The following is a 23,323-nucleotide window of genomic DNA, read 5'->3' as shown; positions in this document are numbered from 1 at the left end:
CCGTCCTCCTTGTGTTGTCTTAGTTTGGGATGGGTCTCACTAGGTTTTAGTATGAAATGCCAGCCTCAACCTCCAGGGAGAAGTTGGAAGCAAGCCCCTGTTACCCTTTCAGGGTCTTGTCTCATTTCTGGGTATGTCTGGAGTGTCTGACTCAAAAGGGCTGTGTGAGAAGCACCCCAAGTGTGGTCACTAAATCCCACCTCCCAGTTATGGGGACTAGTCCACTTGGGGTTAATGGGCAATTCCAGGCACAAGGCAGGAGAAAGATGTGCCCAGGATAGATTGTGAACAGAGAGCGGAAAGCCATCGAGGTCTCCTGGGTTCCTTCAGGAGGATCCTGGGGCCACCAGAAGAGGCACTGAGTGGGCCACGGTGGGTCATTGTCATCATCAATGAAATAGAACCATGGTGGACTCAAGTGAGTCACATACAGTAACATAACTTTGAGCTCACCATGAAATAATTGTTCATCTTCACGAGATGGCAGGCAACATGGTCATCATTATTAAGATGCTAAATGAAAGGAAAGACTCAACATGTCTATGCTATTTCTTACTGAAATAAGAATCACACTCCCAGAGGAGCAAAGAACATATGAGGGCACACCTTTTACAGACAGTCAGTAGAAGGAAAAGGTGGTCGAACTGAAATGCAGTCACCTTGCATCCATATACCATCTAATGGCACTGGATACAAAGTGTGAAGCCCAGCTAACGTCACAAATAGATGACCCCACATGGGAGCCCAGTAGCCAAGCGGTCTTGCTGAAAAGTCACACTGAGCCTTGTTAAACCTTTCTGGCCAAGAACCAATTTTCAGGAAACGCAGAAGCAGAGAGGAGCGCTTGTTTCCAGCTTGGGGAGGCCACAGGCTGTATCCTGACCATGGGAAGGTCCTGGGACCAACCCCCAGCTCCTGTAGCTCCTGCCTTGCAAGGAAATTAAAAATCAATGAGGAAGATACCTGCAGACAGAACAGGTCTAAAAACACAGTCACCAGTCACAATTTCAAACCATATTGAATCCTCATAGAAATGAAATGGAAAACCACAGAATAACAACAACACAAACACAGGTCTAGTGAAAGAAGCATAGGATATTTGTGAAGTATTTGATGGGAAACATTCTTTTTTTGATATGAAAGAATTAGATATTTATATTTAGGTTTGTAAGAATGTAGTTTTTTGGGGGGGGTCCATATTTTTAGAGACACAAATGGAATATTTAGACTAATGGACATGATGTCTACAATTTGCTTCAAACAACTGTGTAAAAGAGGTTACTTGATTGTGGGTGGGTCAACATGAGCTGTATTATCCTGTTTTTTTATTTTCTTGCTGTCAGTTTCCGTAATATCTTACAAGGCAGTAATTAGAGAGATTAGTCTTGGGACAGCACCAGGGGACATCCAGAGGGGATCCTACCCAGCAGGGCCATTGAGAAGGTGGAGATCAAAGCGGTCCTCTTTGCTATAGGGGTCTCAGCGTTCACATCTATGAAATGGGGCCAGACAGGGTGGTGGGAATCAGGACCCTTAAGTTTCCTTCTAACTTGTAGGTTGTGACTTGAGGCAGGGGTTCTATGATTAGGCTCCAAGAGGAACCCCTTCTCTGCCCCACTATGGCCCTAGAGTTCTCTGCCCTTGCAGGCTCTGTCTCAGGCCTGGCCTGGCCACCCAGCAGCTCTGGTGAAGGCACCTGCCACACCGCTGATGTGCTGGAGGCACCAAGAAGGGGCCTGACAGTGCCCAAGACTGATGAGGAGGGCTGGGAAGTGCATCTCCCAAGGCCACCTCACTCGCTGTCAGGGACCCTGGGATGATTGTGTCTCTGACATCAGGGTGTAGGTGCACATGGAGGGGCTGAACCACATGATTGAGGGAGGGAGTAGGCCCTGGTGGGGAGGGGTCTAAGGTAGCTGAGTCCCATGAAAACTTGACCTGCCTGTAGCCCTTAAGTCACACTTACCCTGCCCTGACCTAGTGTGACCTGGCCCTGATTCTTGGGCGAGTATGATTTTGACACAGCCTCCATCAGACAACCAATGGATGCCGATTCTATGCTTGGGATGGTGCCTTTCTCATTTGACCCAGTCCACCTGAGTCCTACCCTCACACAGGCTGGCCATCATGGCTCCAGCCATAACCATAATCTAACTCTACTGCGTCCCCTGACTTTAGAATTCGAGACTCTTCATGGTTGAGATCTCAGCCCTATGCTCTCTTTCTGACCTGGCCAGTGTTAACCCTGAGCCTGACCCATTTGATCACAACGAATCATCTGTGTGCCTCAGCCTCAGCCCATGTCCCAGCACTAGTGACATGAACACCAGTGTCTTGAAGAGCGCTCTAGGGCTAAGTGGGTTGGGACACTGAATAGAATTCTTGACTTGCAAGGTTATGTAACATGAACTGTTTTCCAACTGCAGGACTTGTCAGCATCTTTCATAGCTAACGTACATTGTGAAAGTGTAAACTACACTGAAGGGTTCCATTTTCCAGCCTTTTTCATGTCTCCCGGGTGATGGCACAATCACGTAATGTTGTAATGTAACGTAAGGTGATGGCACCTAGTAAATGGTCTCCTAACTGGGTATCATGGATGGGACAGGGAAGTTCAACCCTGTTTCTGCTCTGATCTTGGCCTGGGCTCAAGGGTTTTCTGTCTCTAGCCCAAAGCAGGGGGTCCTGGAACACTCCTCGTTTCTCCCCGATGCCCTGCTCAGGGCCACCACTCTGTCCTCACTAGGCTCCACATCCTTCCCAGGTGGGCAAGAACTGCATTTCAGGGACCACTCTGCAGGGACAACTTTCTGCTCTGGAACATGGTTCCCCCTGGCACAGGGAGCCCACCCGGTTTCCTGGCAGGTTGGGTGGGGTGTGGGATGACGGGGACATGGGATCTCACCTGAAACTGCCTCCTGTCCCAGAGCAGTGACCCTTCAGCACAGGCACATGACCAGACACAGACGACACATTGGAAACTGGGTTTTACATGATCAGGTCTTTATTGAGAAGTAAAATTGAGGAGGGTGTGGGACTGGTCTGAGCTGAGGCCAGGCTGGAGGCTCAGGGGTATGGTGGAGAGTTGGGGAAGGGGTGACTGGAAGAGGAAGGACCTTCCAGAGAGATGACTCGGGGAGGCTGTAAGCCTCCTCCCTTGGGTGACTTTCCCACTGGGTGCAGAATTCCCTCCACCGTAAATTGAGAACCCAGGGAAGGCTAGGAATTATATGTGAGAAAAGAAAAAATGAGATAAAACAAGATTTCTGATTGACAATGAGAATATTTATTGAGGGTTTATTGAGTGCAGGGAGAAGGGCTTGATGCCTTGGGGTGGGAGGAGAGACCCCTCCCCTGGGATCCTGCAGCTCTAGTCTCCCGTGGTGGGGGGTGAGGGATGAGAACCTATGAACATTCTGTAGGGGCCACTGTCTTCTCCACGGTGCTCCCTTCATGCGTGACCTGGCAGCTGTAGCTTTTGTGGGACTTCCACTGCTCAGGCGTCAGGCTCAGGTAGCTGCTGGCCGCGTACTTGTTGTTGCTTTGTTTGGAGGGTGTGGTGGTCTCCACTCCCGCCTTGACGGGGCTGCTATCTGCCTTCCAGGCCACTGTCACGGCTCCCGGGTAGAAGTCACTTATGAGACACACCAGTGTGGCCTTGTTGGCTTGAAGCTCCTCAGAGGAGGGTGGGAACAGAGTGACCGAGGGGGCAGCCTTGGGCTGACCTGCGGGGTGGATGAGGGGCAGGGGGTCAGAGTCCTGGTGTCCACCTGGGGAGCCCCTGACCTCAGTATATGATGAGGTGTTGGGGTGCCCTTGTTCAGGGGCTCTGTGTCTGAAGGTCTATGCCAGGCAGAGGGGTCAGGGTGTTTTCCACTATGTCCTGATCTGCACGGGGAGCTGTTTTACCTTAGACACCTGACCACCTGTCCTGAGATCTCTCGGGGCCTTGGCCCCCCACACCGACATCTGACCCTCAGTGCCCTGACCCTGTCCCCTCCTGCCATCCTGACAGATAAAGAGAGCTCTGTGTCTCTCCTGCACAGCGAACTCTGGGGTTACTTTTCTGGCCTGGCTCCTCAGCTCTGTGGGATACTGGGGCCTTTTGGTCCCTCAGGCTGTTCCAGCCAAATGTGTGTTCTGGAGCCCGTGTATGGGGCAAGGGCCTGGGGGGATCGGAGAGCCTGCCTGCTGTCCTGGGCTCTCTCTTATTCCGTGGAGTCTTTTCTGGCATCCACCCCACGTCCCGGCTACCTGGTCATAGCAGTGGGGCTTTCACGCAGTGGACTCTGCCCCTCTGATCCCCCTGGGCACAGGGGATATGTTCTGAAGAGACCCAGGAGCCCGCCCTTCCGTCACATCCACTCCTTTTGTGACCCTTCCCCTGGCTTTCTGGTGTCCAGAGTCTGCTTCTCCCTTCTCCCTCCTGACGGGGTTTCCTGAGTCTCAGGCTGGCTCAGGGCTCAGTCCCTGGCAGCCCCCAGACGCCCAGGGCAGCCCCTCCACCTCCTACCTCATTCTGGGTCTGGATCCTGGCTCTGGGTCCCAGCTCTGTGATTCCCGAGCATCAGCCCCGAGGGCACTGGGTCCTTCTAAAGTCTCCCAGGAGGTGCCTCCCTCAGACCCCTTGTTCCCAATTCCCCAGGAGATGGAACCCAGGTAACCCAAGGGCAAAGCTGTTCCGACAAGAACCCAGACTGAGGAGGCCAGAACAGAACAAGGCTTAGAGACCCAGCCTGCGCCTGTCAGACAGACAGAGAGACAAACAGAGAGACAGACAGACAGACAGAGAGACAGACAGACAGACAGACGAGGCTCAGTAGGTCATTCTATCTAGTCCCCTGCCCCTGCGGTCAGAGGTGAAGTGGTTGTAATGACCTGCTGAGGCAAGCAAGGGTCTGAACAGGGAGGGCAGAGGTCCTTGCTCAGGCCTGGGATGCAGGGAGAAAGGCTGACCACAAGTTGAGACAAGATACAGAAACAAACAAAAACAGCAGAAATTGTCCCAAGAGCGGGGAAGGAGAGGGGAGAAGAGACTCACCTAGGACGGTCAGCTTGGTCCCTCCGCCGAACACCCAACACTGTGACACAGGCTCATACAAAAACCCTCCCTGGGATGCCCCTAGCCCCAGCCCCCACTGCAGCTGTGAAGGAGGAAGCTGGGACCAGTGGTCCTGGTGGCATCTGCTCATGAGGGAGTCCACATGGCCCCCACACTCAACCCACAGAGAGAGGGGACCGGTGACATCCTGTGACCCACAGCAGGATCCCTGGAAATCCAGGCTTCTGGAGGACACTGGGATCTTGAATTTGTTTTTTGCACCAACCATCACTCAGGCCCAGGATTGAATTTATTAGAGGGCATTAGTGTCGCTAAGGAGTGAATTTCCACAGATGGGATAGGTGGTCTCTTCTCTGCAAAGTTGAACCAACCCATGGTTCAACTTTTGGTAACACCATGGGGTGGTGCAGAGGGTGCTCCTTTCCTCCCATGCAGAGGCTGATTGCCCTAGAGTGCAGTGTTCTGGGAACCTTGGTGGGTTTCAGCCCCACCTTCTGGAGTAGTTCTAGTTGGATAGGCCTGGTCAGTGAGGCCTGGCTGGTCCCAATATGAAATGCCAGTCACATCTGTTAGGGTAACCTTGGGAGCATCCCTGCACCCCTGAATCTGGCCTCATGTTTGGTGGGACAGCTAGGGTGGTAGCTGCCGTTGTCTTTTTCAAATGGGGGACATGAGGGAGCCTCCAGAATGTGGTCTCCAAATATCACCTCTCACTAAGGGAAGGGAGATCAGTGGGGGATCCCAGGCCTGGGGCAGGAAAGACACATAAGACAAATAAGAAAGGAACATGATAAGACAGAACCTCTTATCCTCTGAGTAATCAGGAGCCATTTAATCCCCTGGGGCCATGTGAGGAAGTCTGAAGCCACTTGGGGAGACTCCCCCTGGGAAAATATTCATCATTGGTGGCCACCTGTCATCATCAATTAAATATAATGACAGTGGCTTCAAAAGCATTAGATGGCTTGAATCCTAGAGTTCACCATGAGAGAAGACATGAATTGTTCACCCTGGAAGGATGGCTGGGCCCCGGATCTTCTGTGTGCAAAGTGGCTCCTTCCTAGAGCATGAAGCACACTCCTGGGTGAACAGAGCCCAGCTGCAGACCTCTGACATCACAGACACTCTGCAGCACTCATGAGAAGGAGGTGAACTGAAGCCTCAACCCTCTGCCTTCCTTCCCTTCTGAGGGATGTAGCTATTGACCATCCTATGCAGCTAACATTACTACAAGAGTGGCAGTCTGACATGGGTGACTCTGCTGGTAGCAGCTCCCTGTCCTTGCAAGCTATTTTGCAATGTCCAATCTGAATCAAGTTAATCCCCTTCATGCTAGAATCATTTTCCAGGAAAATAAAAGCTGAGGGAAGCCCTAGGTTCCTGCTCCAGGAGGCGTGGCTGTATAGCAGCCAGGGGAAGTTCTCCAGACAGCTCTCAGCTCCTGCAGCTCCTGCCTTGCCGGGAGGCTCTAGAGCAATTGAGGAAATATTCACCAGTGACAACCAGCCTGATGGCACATGCACCCATCACCATTTGATGTCATATTGCTCCTCATATAAACTTAAACCCCCAAATACCAACAGCACCAACATGTAACTAAGCCAAAGCACTTCTGGTGTTTCTGATGCATTTGAGGAGACCCTGCTTATTTCTCGATATTAGGGAATTAGTGATAATTTCTATTTAGGTTTGGTAGTGATATTATAGTTATTTTAAGGTCCATGTCATTCCAGGACAGTAATGGAGTACTTACAGCTGAACAGATCTGATGTCTTGTATTTCTTTCTAAATGTTGTGTAAGGGAGAATTTATTTTGCTGTGGGTGGGTCGGCATCATCTGTGAATTGCTTATTTTGAGTGCTGGGTGATGAGAACATGGGACACTGTTATTTTTCTGTCTCCTTATTTATATGTTCAGAGTTCTTCATAATATAAACTTATGACACAGCTCAGTCTTTGGACAGCTGCTGGGTGTGAAGTAGACCTTGGCCTTGTACCCAGCAGGCCTACGTAACTGGCCCTCCTTGGGTGGTCTTAGTTTTCTCATTTGTGAAATGGGCTTAGACAGGGACTGTGGCCACTAGAACCTTTTAGCCTTCTTCTAATTCAGAGGCTGGGATTTGGATCAGGGGTGGCTGTGATCAAGCACCAAGGGGCCATTTCTCTGCCTCATTGTGACTGCAGAGCTTCCTGTCTTTGCGGGCTCTGTCCCTGGCCTGTCGGGACCACCCAGCAGCTCTGGTGAACTCAGCTGCCACATTCCTGATGTGCTGGAGGCAGAGACAGGGAGTCTAAGTTTGCGTGGGCACTAAGAACGCACAGTCATCCAGGGCCTCCATAGAGGTTTGGGTAGGAAGGCTCCACCACTGTGACCAAGGGAGGGCGAAGGTCCCAGTGGGCAGGAGGGTCTGGGGGAGCTGAGTGTTCATGGATGCCTGACCTTGCCTGTAGCCCTCTGTCTGCATTCACACAGCCCTGACCCAGCCTGGCCCAGCTCCAACTCTTGTCATGAATTTGACACGGCCTCCTTCACTCCTCGAGCCTGACCCTGAGCCTGTAGCCATCTTATCATACACCCGTAACATCTTTGTTCTTAAATCTCACTTTATGTTTCATAAACTACTTCCATGACATACTAGTATCTTGCAGAATATTATGGGGCTTTTAGAGGTGCCAGATGGATAAATGTGACTTTACATAAGCTAAGCTTTACCACAGGAAATTATTTCCCTAGTAGAGAACTTTTCATTGCCTTTACTTGGCTAACGTGCATTGTCAAGTCTAGGAAATGCACCTGTATGTTTCATTCTCCAAGGCTTCTCAGGACATCCTGGTGGCAGCACAAGTATGGACTCCTTTCCTGCTAAACGGTCTTGTGTGGAATGGGGATTTTCAACTGTGTTCCTGCTGAGACCATGACATTGACTCATAGGTGCTCTTCACCCTTACTTCTGCCTCTAGCCCACATCTGGGCTCCCCAGAGACCCCTTCACTTCTCCTGATTTCCCTCTCCGGACTGTCCTGCATCCTGATGCTGGGCCATGGTATTTCCCAGTTTGGCAAGAGCTACAGCCCACCAGATGCTTGCAGGACAATATGAAACTCTGGATCATGGATTCTCCTGACACAGAGAGCTCACCAGAGTCACTGGCTTGTTGCATAGGGTCAGGGATGCCATGGCAGGGACCTGGCATCTGACCAAGAGCGGACCTATCCCCTGTCCCGGACCAGCAACTCTTTAGCCCAGAGACTGGAGCAGACACAGAAGGCATGCGAGAAGTGCCGTGTGATGCGTGGTTAGGTTTCTGTTGAAAGGCAGAATCTAGGAGAGTGTGACACCCCCCTGGTCCCAGCCAGGCGAGGCTGGTGGCTCAGGGGTACAGTGGAGAGCTGAGGAAGGGGTGTCTGGGTGAGGAAGGCCTTACCTGCAGAGATGCCCAGGGAACTGAGAACCCCTTCACATAGGCAACTTTCCCACTGGGTTCAGGGTTCTTTCCACCACAAATTGAGAACCCAGGAAAGGCTAGGAATTATATGTGAGAAAAGAAAAAATGAGATAAAACAAGATTTCTGATTGACAATGAGAATATTTATTGAGGGTTTATTGAGTGCAGGGAGAAGGGCTTGATGCCTTGGGGTGGGAGGAGAGACCCCTCCCCTGGGATCCTGCAGCTCTAGTCTCCCGTGGTGGGGGGTGAGGGTTGAGAACCTATGAACATTCTGTAGGGGCCACTGTCTTCTCCACGGTGCTCCCTTCATGCGTGACCTGGCAGCTGTAGCTTCTGTGGGACTTCCACTGCTCAGGCGTCAGGCTCAGATAGCTGCTGGCCGCGTACTTGTTGTTGCTTTGTTTGGAGGGTGTGGTGGTCTCCACTCCCGCCTTGACGGGGCTGCTATCTGCCTTCCAGGCCACTGTCACGGCTCCCGGGTAGAAGTCACTTATGAGACACACCAGTGTGGCCTTGTTGGCTTGAAGCTCCTCAGAGGAGGGCGGGAACAGAGTGACCGAGGGGGCAGCCTTGGGCTGACCTGCGGGGTGGATGAGGGGCAGGGGGTCAGAGTCCTGGTGTCCACCTGGGGAGCCCCTGACCTCAGTATATGATGAGGTGTTGGGGTGCCCTTGTTCAGGGGCTCTGTGTCTGAAGGTCTATGCCAGGCAGAGGGGTCAGGGTGTTTTCCACTATGCCCTGATCTGCACGGGGAGCTGTTTTACCTTAGACACCTGACCACCTGTCCTGAGATCTCTCGGGGCCTTGGCCCCCAACACCGACATCTGACCCTCAGCGCCCTGACCCTGTCCCCTCCTGCCATCCTGACAGATAAAGAGAGCTCTGTGTCTCCCCTGCACAGCGAACTCTGGGGTTACTTTTCTGGCCTGGCTCCTCAGCTCTGTGGGATACTGGGGCCTTTTGGTCCCTCAGGCTGTTCCAGCCAAATGTGTGTTCTGGAGCCCGTGTATGGGGCAAGGGCCTGGGGGGATCGGAGAGCCTGCCTGCTGTCCTGGGCTCTCTCTTATTCCGTGGAGTCTTTTCTGGCATCCACCCCACGTCCCGGCTACCTGGTCATAGCAGTGGGGCTTTCACGCAGTGGACTCTGCCCCTCTGATCCCCCTGGGCACAGGGGATATGTTCTGAAGAGACCCAGGAGCCCGCCCTTCCGTCACATCCACTCCTTTTGTGACCCTTCCCCTGGCTTTCTGGTGTCCAGAGTCTGCTTCTCCCTTCTCCCTCCTGACGGGGTTTCCTGAGTCTCAGGCTGGCTCAGGGCTCAGTCCCTGGCAGCCCCCAGACGCCCAGGGCAGCCCCTCCACCTCCTACCTCATTCTGGGTCTGGATCCTGGCTCTGGGTCCCAGCTCTGTGATTCCCGAGCATCAGCCCCGAGGGCACTGGGTCCTTCTAAAGTCTCCCAGGAGGTGCCTCCCTCAGACCCCTTGTTCCCAATTCCCCAGGAGATGGAACCCAGGTAACCCAAGGACAAAGCTGTTCCGACAAGAACCCAGACTGAGGAGGCCAGAACAGAACAAGGCTTAGAGACCCAGCCTGCGCCTGTCAGACAGTCAGAGAGACAAACAGAGAGACAGAGAGACAAACAGAGAGACAGACAGACAGACAGACAGACGAGGCTCAGTAGGTCATTCTATCTAGTCCCCTGCCCCTGTGGTCAGAGGTGAAGTGGTTGTAGTGACCTGCTGAGGCAAGCAAGGGTCTGAACAGGGAGGGCAGAGGTCCTTGCTCAGGCCTGGGATGCAGGGAGAAAGGCTGACCACAAGTTGAGACAAGATACAGAAACAAACAAAAACAGCAGAAATTGTCCCAAGAGCGGGGAAGGAGAGGGGAGAAGAGACTCACCTAGGACGGTCAGCTTGGTCCCTCCGCCGAATACCACACACTGTGACACAGGCTCATACAAAAACCCTCCCTGGGATGCCCCAGCCCCAGCCCCCACTGCAGCTGTGAAGGAGGAAGCTGGGGCCAGTGGCCCTGGTGGCATCTGCTCATGAGGGAGTCCACATGGCCCCCACACTCAACCCACAAAGAGAAGGGGACCGGTGACGTCCTGTGACTCACAGCAGGATCCCTGGAAATCCAGGCTTCTGGAGGACACTGGGATCTTGAATTTGTTTTTTGCACCAACCATCACTCAGGCCCAGGATTGAATTTCTTAGGGAGCATCAGTATCGCTAAGGAGTGAATTTCCACAGATGGGTTAGGTGGTCTCTTCTCTGCAAAGTTGAACCAACCCATGGTTCAACTTTTGGTAACACCATGGGGTGGTGCAGAGGGTGCCCCTCTCCTCCCATGCAGAGGCTGATTGCCCTAGAGTGCAGTGTTCTGGGAACCTTGGTGGGTTTCAGCCCCACCTTCTGGAGTAGTTCTAGTTGGATAGGCCTGGTCAGTGAGGCCTGGCTGGTCCCAATATGAAGTGCCAGTCACATCTGTTAGGGTAACCTTGGGAGCATCCCTGCACCCCGAATCTGGCCTCATGTTGGGTGGGACAGCTGGGGTGGTGGCTGCCGTTGTCTTTTTCAAATGGGGGACATAAGGGAGCCTCCAGAATGTGGTCTCCAAATACCACCTCTCACTAAGGGAAGGGAGATCAGTGGGGGATCCCAGGCCTGGGGCAGGAAAGACACATAAGACAAATAAGAAAGGAACATGATAAGACAGAACCTCTTATCCTCTGAGTAATCAGGAGCCATTTAATCCCCTGGGGCCATGTGAGGAAGTCTAAAGCCACTTAGGGAGACTCCCCCTGGGAAAATATTCATCATTGGTGGCCACCTGTCATCATCAATTAAATATAATGACAGTGGCTTCAAAAACATTAGATGGCTTGAATCCTAGAGTTCACCATGAGAGAAGACATTAATTATTCACCCTGGAAGGATGGCTGGGCCCCGGATCATCTGTGTGCAAAGTGGCTCCTTCCTAGAGCATGAAGCACACTCCTGGGTGAACAGAGCCCAGCTGCAGACCTCTGAATTCACAGATGCTCTGCAGCACTCATGAGAAGGAGGTGAACTGAAGCCTCATCCCTCTGCCTTCCTTCCCTTCTGAGGGATGTAGCTATTGACCATCCTATGCAGCTAACATTACTACAAGAGTGAGAATCTGACATGGGTGATCTCGCTGTTAGCAGCTCCCTGTCCTTGGAAGCTATTTTGCAATGTCTAGTCTGAATCCAGTTAAGTCCCTCCATGCTAGAACCATTTTGCAGGGGAAAAAAAAAAGAAGTAGATGATAGCCCTGGGTTCTTGTTTTGGGAGGTGTGGCTGTATTCCAACCGTGGGAAGGTCCCCGGACAGCTCTCAACTCCTGCAGCTCCTGCCTTGCCAGGCAGCACTAGAGCAATTGAGGAAATATTCACCAGTGACAACTGGCCTGACAGCACATGCGCCCATCACCATTTGATGCCATATTGAATTCTGAAATAAACCACCCAAAACCCCAAAATAACCACAGCACCAACACTTAACTAAGTCAATACGCTTCTGGCATTTGTGAGGGATTTGAGGAGCCCGTGATTATTTCTTGATATTAGGGAATTAGTGATAATTTCTATTTAGGTTTGGTAATAATATTGCAGTTACTTTTAAGCCCATATCTTTCCAGCATAGAAATGGGATATTTACAGCTGAAAAGATGTGATGTCTGGTATTGTGTAATGGAGGGGTTATTCTGCTATGGGTGGGTCAGTAATGTCTGTGAATTGCTTATTGGGGGGGCTGGGTGATGGGAACTTGGGGGCATTATTATTTCTCTGTCTCCTTATGTATGTGTTCAAAGTTTTCCATAATGGAAACTTATAACACAGTCAAAGATTAGGCAGCTGCTGGGGATGGCCTTGTGCCCAGCAGGACTATGGATCTGGCCCTTGGTCATCTCAGTTTTCCCCTCCATGAAATGGGCTCAGACAGGTGCTGTGGCAACAGAACCCTCAAGCCTCCTTCTAATGAGAGGCTGGGATTTGGATCAGGGGTGGCTGTGATCAAGCTCTAAGGGGCTCTTTCTTTGCCTCATTGTGACTGCAGAGATTCCTGTCTTTGCAGGCTCTGTCCCTGGCCTGTTGGGATCACCCAGCAGCTCTGGTGGAGGCAGCTGCTATGTCTCTGATGTGCTGGAGGCAGAGACAGGGGGTCTGAGAGTACCCAGGCACTGAGGACTCTCCAAGACAGCTGGGGTCTCCACACCCAGGAGGCTGACATCATCTGCTGTCAGAGACACTGGAATGAGTGTCTCTGAGATGAGGCAGCAGGTGTACATGGGATGGGGTGGGGAGGCTGCGCCACCATGAGCTACGGAGGGAGAGGGTGCTCTGCGGGCAGGAGGGTTTGTGGGATCTGACTCCTAGTGGAGGCCAGGACTTGCCTGGAGCCATCAGCCCACATTCACTCAGCTCTTATTCAGTCTGACCCAGCCCTGAAGCTCATCCTGAATTCAACTCTGATTAGCCTCCCCCAGGCAATCAATAGATGCAGAGTTTGAGCTTGGATTTGTGACTTTTCTCATTTTCCCAATTTCCCCACATCCTCCTGCTCCTGCAGACTGACCATCATCAAGCTCCAGCCACAAACCAATCAGAAATTAACTCTACCTGGGCCTGACTTAGTGGTCCACACCCTTCATGCTTGACATCCAGCCCCACGCTAGTGTTAACTTTGAGCCTGATCCCCAACCCACAGCCATGTGATCATATACCCGTAACATCATGTGCATCAACCTCACCCCATATTCCACAAACTAGTTCCAGGAAACGCTGGTATCTTTCAGAGTGTTTTGGGTCTTCTAAAGGTGAAGAAGGAGATCAACATGCTTTTGGATATGCTGTGGCTCATCATATTAAACTGGTTCCCTAGTGCAGGACTTGTCAGTATGTTTACTTAGCCAATGTCCATTGTACAAGTCTTAGAAAGACACTTGCATGTTTCCTTTCCCAATGTTTTTACAAGTTCCCAGTGGCAGCACAGTTATTTATCCCTCACCCAGTAAACACTCTCCTGACTGGTTCCTCGTATGCAATGGGGAATTTCACCTTCTGTTCCTGCTGAGACCGTGGCCTTGAGTCAAGGGTGTCCTTTTTCCATTATTTCTGCCTCTAGCCCTCATCTGGTCTCCGGGGACCCCCTTCATTTCTCCTGAATCTCCCCACAGGGCGCCAGCAAACCTCTCACTGGGCCCCTGTCCCTTCCCAGGTGGGCAAGGACTGCAGGACAATTTTGTGCCTTGGATTGCAGTTCCCACTGGCACAGGGAGCTCACCCGGTTCCCTGGCAGGTTGGGTGGGGTGTGGGATGACGGAGACATGGGATCTCACCTGGAACTGCCCCCTGTCCCTGAGCAGTGACCCTTCAGCCCAGACACATGACCAGACAGAGACTGCACATTAGAAATGCTGCGTTTTACATGATCAGGTATTTATTGAGAAGTAAAATTTAGGAGGGTGTGGGACTGGTCTGAACTGATGCCAGACTGGTAGCTCAGGGGTACAGTGGAGAGTTGGAGAAGGGGTGACTGGGAGAGGAAGGACCCTCTGGGGAGATGACTCAGGGAGGCTGTGAGCCTCCTCCCTTGGGTGATTTTCACACTGGGTGCAGAATTCCCTGTACCCCACACTGAGAACCCCGGGGAGGCTAGCAATTTATGTGAGAAAAAAAATGAGATAAAACAAGATTTCTGGTTGTCAATGAGGATATTTATTGGGGTTTCATGAGTGCAGGGAGAAGGGCTGGATGACTTGGGATGGGGAGAGAGACCCCTCCCCTGGGATCCTGCAGCTCCAGGCTCCCGTGGGTGGGGTTAGAGTTGGGAACCTATGAACATTCTGTAGGGGCCACTGTCTTCTCCACGGTGCTCCCTTCATGCGTGACCTGGCAGCTGTAGCTTCTGTGGGACTTCCACTGCTCGGGCGTCAGGCTCAGGTAGCTGCTGGCCGCGTACTTGTTGTTGCTCTGTTTGGAGGGTTTGGTGGTCTCCACTCCCGCCTTGACGGGGCTGCCATCTGCCTTCCAGGCCACTGTCACAGCTCCCGGGTAGAAGTCACTGATCAGACACACTAGTGTGGCCTTGTTGGCTTGGAGCTCCTCAGAGGAGGGCGGGAACAGAGTGACAGTGGGGTTGGCCTTGGGCTGACCTGTGTGGACAGGGAAGGGGGTGAGAGAGGGCAGACAGAATACCGGGGTGTTGTGGAGCCCCTCTCTCTGTCTAAAGTCTCTGGGAGGGTTCACAGTGTGGCCATCCGGTCCACCCGGGGTTCTCTCCTCTTCTTTCCCCATCCTTTCCACTCATGCCCTGTGGAGAGCAGACAGCTCTGTGCCTTCCTAGGAGCCCTCCCAAGTCACCTTTCACAGGTGTCCTGGCCCAGCCCCTCTCCTCTACAGCCTCAATTTCTCCATATACCCAGGGCAGGCTGTGTTCCTTCTTCTCTGATCTCTGGAGTCTGAGTTTAGAATCTGGCCTTGACCCCTGGATCCCTCATTTCCATCCCTATACCCCCCTCCATCACCCACTTTATTCTTCCAGGACCTAGAGCCTCCTCCGTGAACTGTGGGTCCCCTGCTCATCCTGTAGGACTGTCCTGGCAGGCAGTGTGTGGGGAGACCCAAGCCTGCTTTGAACTGGAGCTTCCTATCCCTCACAGGCACCGGGCTCTGCCCCAGCCCAGCCCACTTGGCTCTCCTGGCAAGGAGTGGGCTCCACCTAGACAAGCCTCAGGGCTCCTCTGAGGCTCTGAGATGTTTCCTGTCTCCACAAGCCCGACCACAGAACCCTTCACCTCAGCTGTTCCTGGGGCTGCTCCCACAGACTATGAGACTCAGCAGCCCCCAGGCCCACCCCAGCAGCCTGTGATGACCCCAAACTTCACCTGGTAGCCATGGAGTTCTCTGCACCCCTCATTCACTCCCCTCTGGTCATTTCCTGAGTCTAACATGCCCTTTGAGGAAGGCAGGAGGCCGATCCGTGAACAGAGAGACACTGGGCCCCAGAGGTGACGGGGCTCCAGGGACAGACACATCTCTGCCCTAAGAGACTGTCTCCTTTCTGGTGACTGTCCTGGGAGGGTTGGATTCTGGCACCTCACCCAGTCTCACCCGTCCCTCTGTGTCCCCATGTCCTCATGACCCAGCACAGGCCACAGAGCTGCAGCCTAGACCCAGAGCCCTCTCTGTGCCCTCCATTGGTCTCCCCTTGGGGTGACCTCTGTGTCACCAGGCCGTGTGGCCCTCCCAGGCTGGATTGGCATCCAGTCCTCAGCCTAGACCCTCAGCTGTTCTTGGGGCTGCTCCCCTAGACTATGAGACTCAGCAGCTCCCAGGCCCACCCCAGCAGCCTCTGTCCTTGACCCCAGGAGTCACTGGGCAATGTCCCTAAGGACACTGCAGGGCCCCTCATCAGAACCAGCCTCTGTCCCTCACTCAGACATCTGCCCTGGAAGAGAGGAGGAGCCCTGACCCTGCCCAATCCCAGCTCAGGCCCCGGGACCAGGCTGCATCCGGCTGCTCCCACTGTGGAGGCCCTTCCTGCCGGTTACCCGGAGACTAATGCACCTCCTCCAGGCCCCATGGAGAAAGGTAAGGGTCAGTGCTTAAGGCTGGGAGGACAGAGGGGAGGAAGCCCCAGAGAGAGAAAACAGATTTTCCAGGGACAGCAGAGGGTGAGACAGGCTGGGAAAGGTTGAGAGCCACTTACCTAGGACGGTGACCTTGGTCCCAGTTCCGAAGACATAACACAGTGACTGAGGCTCAGACCAAAACCCCCGGGGCCAGCACCTGGGGTCTGCTCTCTGGGGGCTGGGCTGGAGCAGGAGCCTGCTGGGCATGACGGGCACAGGGTTGCAGTGGGCGGGGCTGGGACCTAGACATGAGGCAGGGGGGTGGCCAGCCCCCTAGAGGTGTCCCTGTGCCTGTCTGCTGTCCAAGGCAAGTGCCACACACAGCCTTGGAGTTACCCCAGTGTGTGTCTTTCCTCTCTGAGGCTGTCGGTGCTGATGACAACACTGGGACCCATAGGTCCCAGCAACTCCCTGAGTGACACATCCCCTCCTGTGCAGTGTGGCAGAGGAGTGCTGAGTTGGCTTGGACCTGTCCAACCTCGTCTGGCCTCATTTAAAGGGCCTCTGAGTCCCCCACACAAGTGTCCCCAGTGAAGCCAGGCTGGCTTTCTCCCTGGATTGAGAGCACTGGGTCATTCCTGACTCAAGTGGAGATTCCTCTGCTTTCTACCCATGGAGACGCGGTTCAGTCCCACTTAGTGCATGAAGCTTTTTCTGATCTCTGAGATCATTCTGTCTACCCATCCATCCAGTTGTCCATCCAGCTATTCATCTGTTCATCTGTTTGTCCATCAATCTATCATCCTTCCATCCATCCGTCCATCCATGCATCTGTCCACTCATTCATCCGACAACAGCTCCCAAGCACCCATCTGTGTCAGGTACTGTTTTTATGCTGGGACATGGCAGGATCCCCTGGCTCTCAGCCTCATCTCTCCCTCAAATCTCTCTGGTTAAGGCCAACAGTCCTTTGCCCCAGTTCAGTCTGCAGTTCTTCCCCATCCCCTATGTCTCTGCAAGAAGGTTTTCTTTCTAGTCACTCTCCCCTCCTTGGTGTCTGAGACTGCCCCCTCTCCTCCTCCTTGGCTTCCCTTTCTACCAGGCCCATGCCCAACTGCTGACTCCCAGATCCCCACCCTGGGTTCTGCTCTCTGTAGTCTCCTAATTTTCTCTGCATCTGACCCTCATTGTGCACACTCACAACTGTCCAGGGGTCTTAGATCCCTATTTCCAGCCCTTACCTCTCTTCTTGGCTCCAGATTCACATATATTCTGCCTCCTCAACCTATGTCTGCTTGGATGCCCTGTAGACACCTCCAACTCAACAGATCACAACTAAACTTCTTTCTGTATAACTTGCTCCTCCACAGAGTCCTCACTTCAGCAAGTTACTCTTCAAGCCAGAGGCCTGGGGACATCGCAGAATGCCTTCCCCTCATTGTATTGCCCTCTGTCCTAGACATCCTAGCATGACACAAGATACTATTAACATCCTACAGAGAAAAAGAAAAACACCCAGGTCACACTCTAAGAGTTTATGATGGCAACCATCCTCAGGTTTTTCCAAATCTGATTTTATTCCCCAAGGCAATTTATTCACATTGGAAGATACCCATTGTGATGGGGCCAGCAACTTTCATCTTAGCAGCAGCTTGTATTTAATACATTTGTATTTAAGACATGTGCAGAAGATTTTTGAAACAGAATTTAATATAATAGTAATATAAATTCAACACTTGTTTCTCATATAAAGAAAGCAAACATTTAGCCTTTTATTAAGTTACTGAAGAAAATTTTCTTAACTCAGTGAAGAATATCTCCCCAAATTTACAGCAACCTTCATATTTAAAGGCAAAACATTTAAAGAATCAGAAACAAGGCAAGGTTGTCTAGTCTCACTTTTATTATTCAGCATATTGTATAGATTCCAGCCAATGAAATGACATAAAAGGGGGAGAGAAGGAGGTATAAATATTACAGAAAAAGAGAGAAAATTGTTCTTGGCAAATGGTGTGATAGTTAACTAAACACACAAACACACACACACACACGGAGAATCAGCTGAAGAACTGCTGGAATTAATACAAGAGTTAAAGTGTCTGGATACAAGAGCAACATAGAAAAGTTAATAGGGTTCCTTGCTATAGAAACAGTAATCATTTACGATATAAAATTGTGAAAAAATTTATAACTTCAATAAAATTATATTTACAAACCCTTTATGAATAAAAAACAAAGTGTGCAAGATTTGCATGAATAAAATATTAAACCACTTATCTGAGTGAATGGAGAGTACATCATGTCTCTGAACAAAAACACTGAGCATTATAAAGATAGCAGTTCTCAAATTAATCCCATATTCTGTGATATTACCACATAACACAAGAATGATTTTTGAAAATTAGAGAACCAATTCTGCAGTCCAACTCTAAGAATGACAGATAATAGACATGACTATTTTGAGAAAAAGTAACAATGACGGGTTCTTTCCCTACCAGTTACCGAACATACCATAAAGCTAAAATAATCAAAACAGGGTGGGCGCAGGAATAGCTCAATAAACCAAGAGAACCACAGAAAGAATGTAATAAATCAGTAATGTAGTAATTGAGAAAAGTTGCATTTATATTCAACAAATGTGTGATGATTGGCTTTCCTATTTGGAAAATAAGGTCTTATTCCTACATCCACAAAAATAAACTCCAGGGGAAGTAAAGAAAAAAAAATAAAACACCAATACACCAAAAGTACCAGAATAAAACAGAAAAATGAGTTTATAATATTGAAATAAAGACAACTTCCTACACATGGTGGAGGTCACAGAAACCATAAAGAAAAGATTAAACCAGTTCGACACATAAAAATTTACCACAGTTTTATGGTGGGAGACCCCATAAACAAAAGACCCGTAAAACAGACCAGGGAAAAATATTTACAATACATACACTAAACAAGTGGTTAAAATCCCAAATATATCCCAATATGTTATTGATATATAAAAAGATGAAAGCAACTGAATGGAAAGGCGGGCAACATGATGACCAGTTAATTCACAGACGAAATAAAACCAATAAATAAAAATATAAAAAATAATTTCACCAGTAATAAAATACACAATAAAACCATAAACACATTCAATTTTTTGCTCATCAGATGGGCAGAATATAAAAAGATCAACAATTTTGCATTATTGGTAAGAATGTAGGAGCGAAGGCACTACCATTCACCGGAGTGAGTGGACACAGACTTTTGGAAACACTACCTATAAGATTTCAAAAGTACATTCTCTCTGATCCAGCAATTCCACTTTTAGGCATCTATCCTGGGGAGATATATAAGTGCACTTTGTACACATACACACACACACACACACACACACACACACACACACACACACACACAAATTTCCACTGCAGCATCATTTGTCATTTAGATTTTTTAGTGGAAATAAATTCTGGCTCATCTAAACTTTGCTTATAAAACAAAGTTTATAAGCAATGAATGTGGTTAATCCATATGGACTGATACAGAAAGTGTCAATAATAGATTAAAAGTTGGTAATATGCAGAATATGGCTCTTACTTTTGCAAAATAAAATCCCAGCACCAACTGTGTGTGTGTGTGTGTGTGTGTGTGTGTGTGTTTTCAGGGACACACACACACACAGGAAAAGTTCTGGAAGTATATTGACCAACCTGACAGTGGCTATCTCTGGGAAGAGGTGAGAGATGGTAAGCAGAAGCACTTGCTTTTACTTTATATACTTCTCTGCTTAATCTTTTTTTTTTTTGGCAAGAAAAAAGAGTAATGTACAAAAGTCATTACATTTTGTAATATACTCATTACAAAAAGAGTAATGCACATGAGTACATTACTGTTGTATTAAAAATTATATTAGAAGAAATGTCTCTTTTTGTGAACAACTTCACAAAACCAGAAAATTATAAAGCCACATTAAAATTAGGTGAAATCCCATCAGCCAGCCAGACACACCATTGACATTTTTCTATATTTTCTGACAGGTTTTTGAAAATGCATATATACTTTAAAAACACAGTTGGGTCAGGTGCAGTGGCTCACGCCTGTAATTCCAGCACGTGGGAAACTGAGGCAGAAAGATTGCTTGAGCTTAGGAATTTGAGACAGGCCTGAGCAATATAGCGAGGCTCTGTCTCTAAACTAATAATAATCCTAATCAAAATTAGCCAGGTGTAGTGGCCTGCATCTGTAGTCCTAGCTACTCAGGAGGCTGAGGCTGGAGGATCTTTTGAGCCCTGGAGGTTGAGGCTGCAGTGAGCTGTGGCCACGCCACTGTACTCCAGCCTGAGCAACAGATCAAGACTGTTTCAAAACAAAAACAACAACAGTCCCCCAAATACAATTGTGTTTTTTCACACCCTTTCTGGTAGATATTTGGATTTTTTCCAGTTTTCTCCCATCACTAATAATGCTGAGCTAACCACCCTTGTTATAAAGATTTGGTTACAGCTTTGATTATTCCCCCAACCAACCCTTAGGATAAATTCCTAGAAGTGGAATTGCCCAGTTTAGATAAACACACTTTGTTTTTTGACTCGCCGCCTGTTGCTAAAATGGTTATACATTTTTAATGCCCATAGACAGTCCCCGAGCGTGTCTGCTCCCCTCTGCTCAGCCCTCACTTCAACTTCATGCTCCCATTTCATAGGAAACTGGGCCCCTGGGTGCTCTGAATCTGAGTGTCCTCCCCATCCCCAAGGCACGGCTTCCTCCAGGATCCCCACCTACCCTGGACTTGGCCATCACCCCCTCTCCTCCCTCCTCTAATCGGGCGTCGCATCAGCCTCCAATCCGGTGCTGATTTTTCCAAAAACACAAATCTGACTCTGATAATCAATCTACCTAAATCCATCCAAGGACTCGTCCTGGACTGGGAATGGTGCACGGACCCTATGGTCTTCTTGCCTCCCCTTCCCAGTCACCCAGGAGCTCCCAGCCTCATCCTGTGCTCTCCTCTCCTCTGACGCTGCTCTGTCTTTTGGGGGCACCCATCACCAGCCAGTGCCCCTCGATCTGTGAGACCAGCCTGGGCATCATCCCAGAGGGAGATCCCCTCTCCCTTTATTGCTCCAAACATGGGCCGTGGGCCTGTTCCAATGACTGGACAGCTCCCCTCGGTTCATCCCACCCTCCCTGTGTCCTTGAGCCTGGCCCCAGTAAGCATTTATGTGCAAGTTGGTGAACAGACAGCCTTGGGGGAGACCAAACCAAGCCCTTGCTGCCTTCTCCAGGGAGTGGCCCCTGCCCTCACTGGGCAGGAGGCACATGGGCAGAGAGGAGGAGGGGGAGGAACAGGCCTGGGCACCCTGTGGGGACAGTGGCCACCACCCCCTGTGGATGTCCTGTCCCTGCCTCTGTTCCTTCCCTACCCAGAGGACTAGGACTAGGTGATTGAGGCACTGACCCTGGTGAAAATTTAAGTGGCGCCAGAAAACTCAGAAATCAAGAAAAATAATATCGTAATATGATATTAAAAACAGTAATTCAAACAAATCTGTGATGGACAAAATATCAACCCATTACTAAAGCCAGTGTCAGCCCAGGCCCCTCTTAGGGGTTAACCTTCCTCCTCACTCCTCTGGCTTGTCTCCCCTTGGTCACCCTTTCCCAGCTCTGCTGCAGGACCCCCACATCCCCTGGAATCTCTTGCCCCTTACCTGCCCCACAGGCTCCGCAGGCTGGATCGGCTGCTTCCAACTGAGGCTCCAGGGTCTGGGTCCCCGCTTTGCGGTGCAACCATTGGGCGCAGCAGGCCATGGGCGACCATGGCCAGACCCAGCAGCAGCAGGGGCCAGCGCTGCCTGGGACCAGGGCCCAGCTCCTCAGGGGTCTCACAACCCACTTGGCCTGTCTTGGGTCTCATTGGCCTTCAGGTTCAGGGGCACCTCTGGCCCGACTTGCAGCATGGGCTCCCTGGAGGACGGTGCCCTGGTCCCTCTCGCCAGCAGGGCTGTTACAGTACACCCCAGTCCATTGGCTCTGTCCTCTCCCTGGACTGGCTCTGGTCCCTGTCCCTAGCCCAGGCCCTTCCAGGGTCCATGGCTGTCACCCCTGGGGATCTCTCCCAGAGGGGCATCTACCAACTGCCCTGAAGCGGTCACAATCCAGGGCTCAACTGCCTCCCACCACAGCCGGCTGCCTGGCCCCGCCCCTGGGTGGTGCACACCTGACCCACTTGTCTTCCCCACTTCCCAAAGGGCAGCCTGGGTCTGTGGAGCATCTCCCTAGGGCCTAGAGAGCTGCCCAGCAGGAGTCCCCAAGGGCTTGAGCTCAGGGGGTTGGGGCTGGGGCTGGAGCTGTGGCTTCTTTTCTGATCAGTCTTCCAGGCTGGGTGCCTGTACACTGCACTCCAGCCAGTTGGGACCAGCCCTTTCTTGGCTGGGTTGGTTAAGCCTGGCTGGCTATCCTGTGGCCCTTTCCTGAGTCAGGCAAGAGCCCTGCAGGGAGTGATTCTATATCCTTCAGGCAAGGAAGAGTGGTGAAGTCATAAATGTGGAGTCTATCTAGACCTAGGTTACCTCTGGGCCTCAGTTTCCTTATCTGTAAAATGGGGAGAGTTCCTCTGCAGCATGAAGCTTATGAGAGTTAAAGAAACCATGTGTTTGCTAAGCACTCAGTGGGTGTTGAATAAATTCTGGTTCTTTTTTTGTTCTTCTCTTACTTTGGGATTCACAACTACTTGTGGGGTGTCCTTGGGGCCAGTGTCTCTGTTTTACAGGTGAGAAAATTACCATCCAGAGAAGATGAATGCAGGGTCCAATATCATTCCTTAAGTAGGGAGCAAGCTGCGCTAGGATCTAGGAAGGGGCTCGTCCCCTGTATTTCTATTCGTCTGTCCACCTGGAATACTCGTGCCTGGCTCCATTCGGCAGTGGTGGAGGAGGAGAGGGCTGGCAGGTGCTTTAAGTTGGGGTCCTTTTTGACTATAATATGGGAATATGATGCATAATACAATAATAATGCATTACATTATTATTGCTTTACAAGCACTAATCCTGGGAGCTAAGATCATCTACTGTCCTCCACATTTGAAGATGAGGAAATGCTGCTCAGGCTGATTCCCTACTCTTTTAATGTCACAGGGCCAAGAGGCAGTAGGTCTGGAGTCGGAATCTGAGGCCTGGTCCTTGCATGACACTAGGGCGTGCTTTGCTGATGATGACATGGCTCTCT

The 23,323-nt window shown here is 50.8% G+C and overlaps 1 protein-coding gene, 6 gene segments (V, D, J or C) and 1 further gene, besides 8 other annotated features; all 8 read right to left on the bottom strand.

The window, feature by feature from the left end:
* IGL (immunoglobulin lambda locus) overlaps positions 1–23,323 on the bottom strand; it is an 896,838-nt gene that overhangs the window by 12,847 nt on the left and 860,668 nt on the right.
* Positions 1,574–1,763: an enhancer, noted in NCBI's record as "active region_18733". NCBI's record gives its function as "activates an Ori minimal core promoter by ATAC-STARR-seq in GM12878 lymphoblastoid cells {active_cell/tissue: GM12878}" and the evidence as "EXISTENCE:reporter gene assay evidence [ECO:0000049][PMID:35858748]".
* Positions 2,114–2,203: an enhancer, noted in NCBI's record as "active region_18732". NCBI's record gives its function as "activates an Ori minimal core promoter by ATAC-STARR-seq in GM12878 lymphoblastoid cells {active_cell/tissue: GM12878}" and the evidence as "EXISTENCE:reporter gene assay evidence [ECO:0000049][PMID:35858748]".
* Positions 2,364–2,423: an enhancer, noted in NCBI's record as "active region_18731". NCBI's record gives its function as "activates an Ori minimal core promoter by ATAC-STARR-seq in GM12878 lymphoblastoid cells {active_cell/tissue: GM12878}" and the evidence as "EXISTENCE:reporter gene assay evidence [ECO:0000049][PMID:35858748]".
* Positions 2,974–3,023: a silencer, noted in NCBI's record as "silent region_13527". NCBI's record gives its function as "represses an Ori minimal core promoter by ATAC-STARR-seq in GM12878 lymphoblastoid cells {active_cell/tissue: GM12878}" and the evidence as "EXISTENCE:reporter gene assay evidence [ECO:0000049][PMID:35858748]".
* Positions 3,406–3,725, bottom strand: IGLC3 (immunoglobulin lambda constant 3 (Kern-Oz+ marker)). The segment is given in 1 exon segment: positions 3,406–3,725. A coding segment is annotated over 1 exon segment (320 nt).
* IGLJ3 (immunoglobulin lambda joining 3) lies at positions 5,042–5,079 on the bottom strand. The segment is given in 1 exon segment: positions 5,042–5,079. A coding segment is annotated over 1 exon segment (38 nt).
* Positions 7,651–7,750: an enhancer, noted in NCBI's record as "active region_18730". NCBI's record gives its function as "activates an Ori minimal core promoter by ATAC-STARR-seq in GM12878 lymphoblastoid cells {active_cell/tissue: GM12878}" and the evidence as "EXISTENCE:reporter gene assay evidence [ECO:0000049][PMID:35858748]".
* IGLC2 (immunoglobulin lambda constant 2) lies at positions 8,772–9,091 on the bottom strand. The segment is given in 1 exon segment: positions 8,772–9,091. A coding segment is annotated over 1 exon segment (320 nt).
* Positions 8,911–9,000: an enhancer, noted in NCBI's record as "active region_18729". NCBI's record gives its function as "activates an Ori minimal core promoter by ATAC-STARR-seq in GM12878 lymphoblastoid cells {active_cell/tissue: GM12878}" and the evidence as "EXISTENCE:reporter gene assay evidence [ECO:0000049][PMID:35858748]".
* Positions 9,251–9,310: an enhancer, noted in NCBI's record as "active region_18728". NCBI's record gives its function as "activates an Ori minimal core promoter by ATAC-STARR-seq in GM12878 lymphoblastoid cells {active_cell/tissue: GM12878}" and the evidence as "EXISTENCE:reporter gene assay evidence [ECO:0000049][PMID:35858748]".
* Positions 9,351–9,400: an enhancer, noted in NCBI's record as "active region_18727". NCBI's record gives its function as "activates an Ori minimal core promoter by ATAC-STARR-seq in GM12878 lymphoblastoid cells {active_cell/tissue: GM12878}" and the evidence as "EXISTENCE:reporter gene assay evidence [ECO:0000049][PMID:35858748]".
* IGLJ2 (immunoglobulin lambda joining 2) lies at positions 10,412–10,449 on the bottom strand. The segment is given in 1 exon segment: positions 10,412–10,449. A coding segment is annotated over 1 exon segment (38 nt).
* On the bottom strand, positions 13,956–22,251 carry IGLL5 (immunoglobulin lambda like polypeptide 5). Of its 2 annotated transcripts, NM_001178126.2 has the most exons (3): positions 21,808–22,251; positions 16,249–16,367; positions 13,956–14,692 (listed from the first exon to the last, which is right to left on the bottom strand). In NM_001178126.2, the coding sequence occupies exons 1-3, from the start codon at positions 22,011–22,013 to the stop codon at positions 14,373–14,375; spliced, it is 645 nt and encodes a 214-aa protein (NP_001171597.1). In that variant the 5' UTR covers positions 22,014–22,251; the 3' UTR covers positions 13,956–14,372. The 2 variants fall into 2 exon arrangements, with proteins under 2 accessions (NP_001171597.1, NP_001243225.1); NM_001256296.2 differs by lacking the exon at positions 16,249–16,367.
* Positions 14,373–14,692, bottom strand: IGLC1 (immunoglobulin lambda constant 1). The segment is given in 1 exon segment: positions 14,373–14,692. A coding segment is annotated over 1 exon segment (320 nt).
* IGLJ1 (immunoglobulin lambda joining 1) lies at positions 16,249–16,286 on the bottom strand. The segment is given in 1 exon segment: positions 16,249–16,286. A coding segment is annotated over 1 exon segment (38 nt).

This window comes from Homo sapiens, chromosome 22 (genome assembly GCF_000001405.40).
Source record: "Homo sapiens chromosome 22, GRCh38.p14 Primary Assembly".
In the NCBI taxonomy this organism is placed as follows: domain Eukaryota; kingdom Metazoa; phylum Chordata; class Mammalia; order Primates; family Hominidae; genus Homo; species Homo sapiens.
Note: the sequence above shows the minus strand (reverse complement) of the source record. Positions and strands in the feature narration are given on the sequence as shown.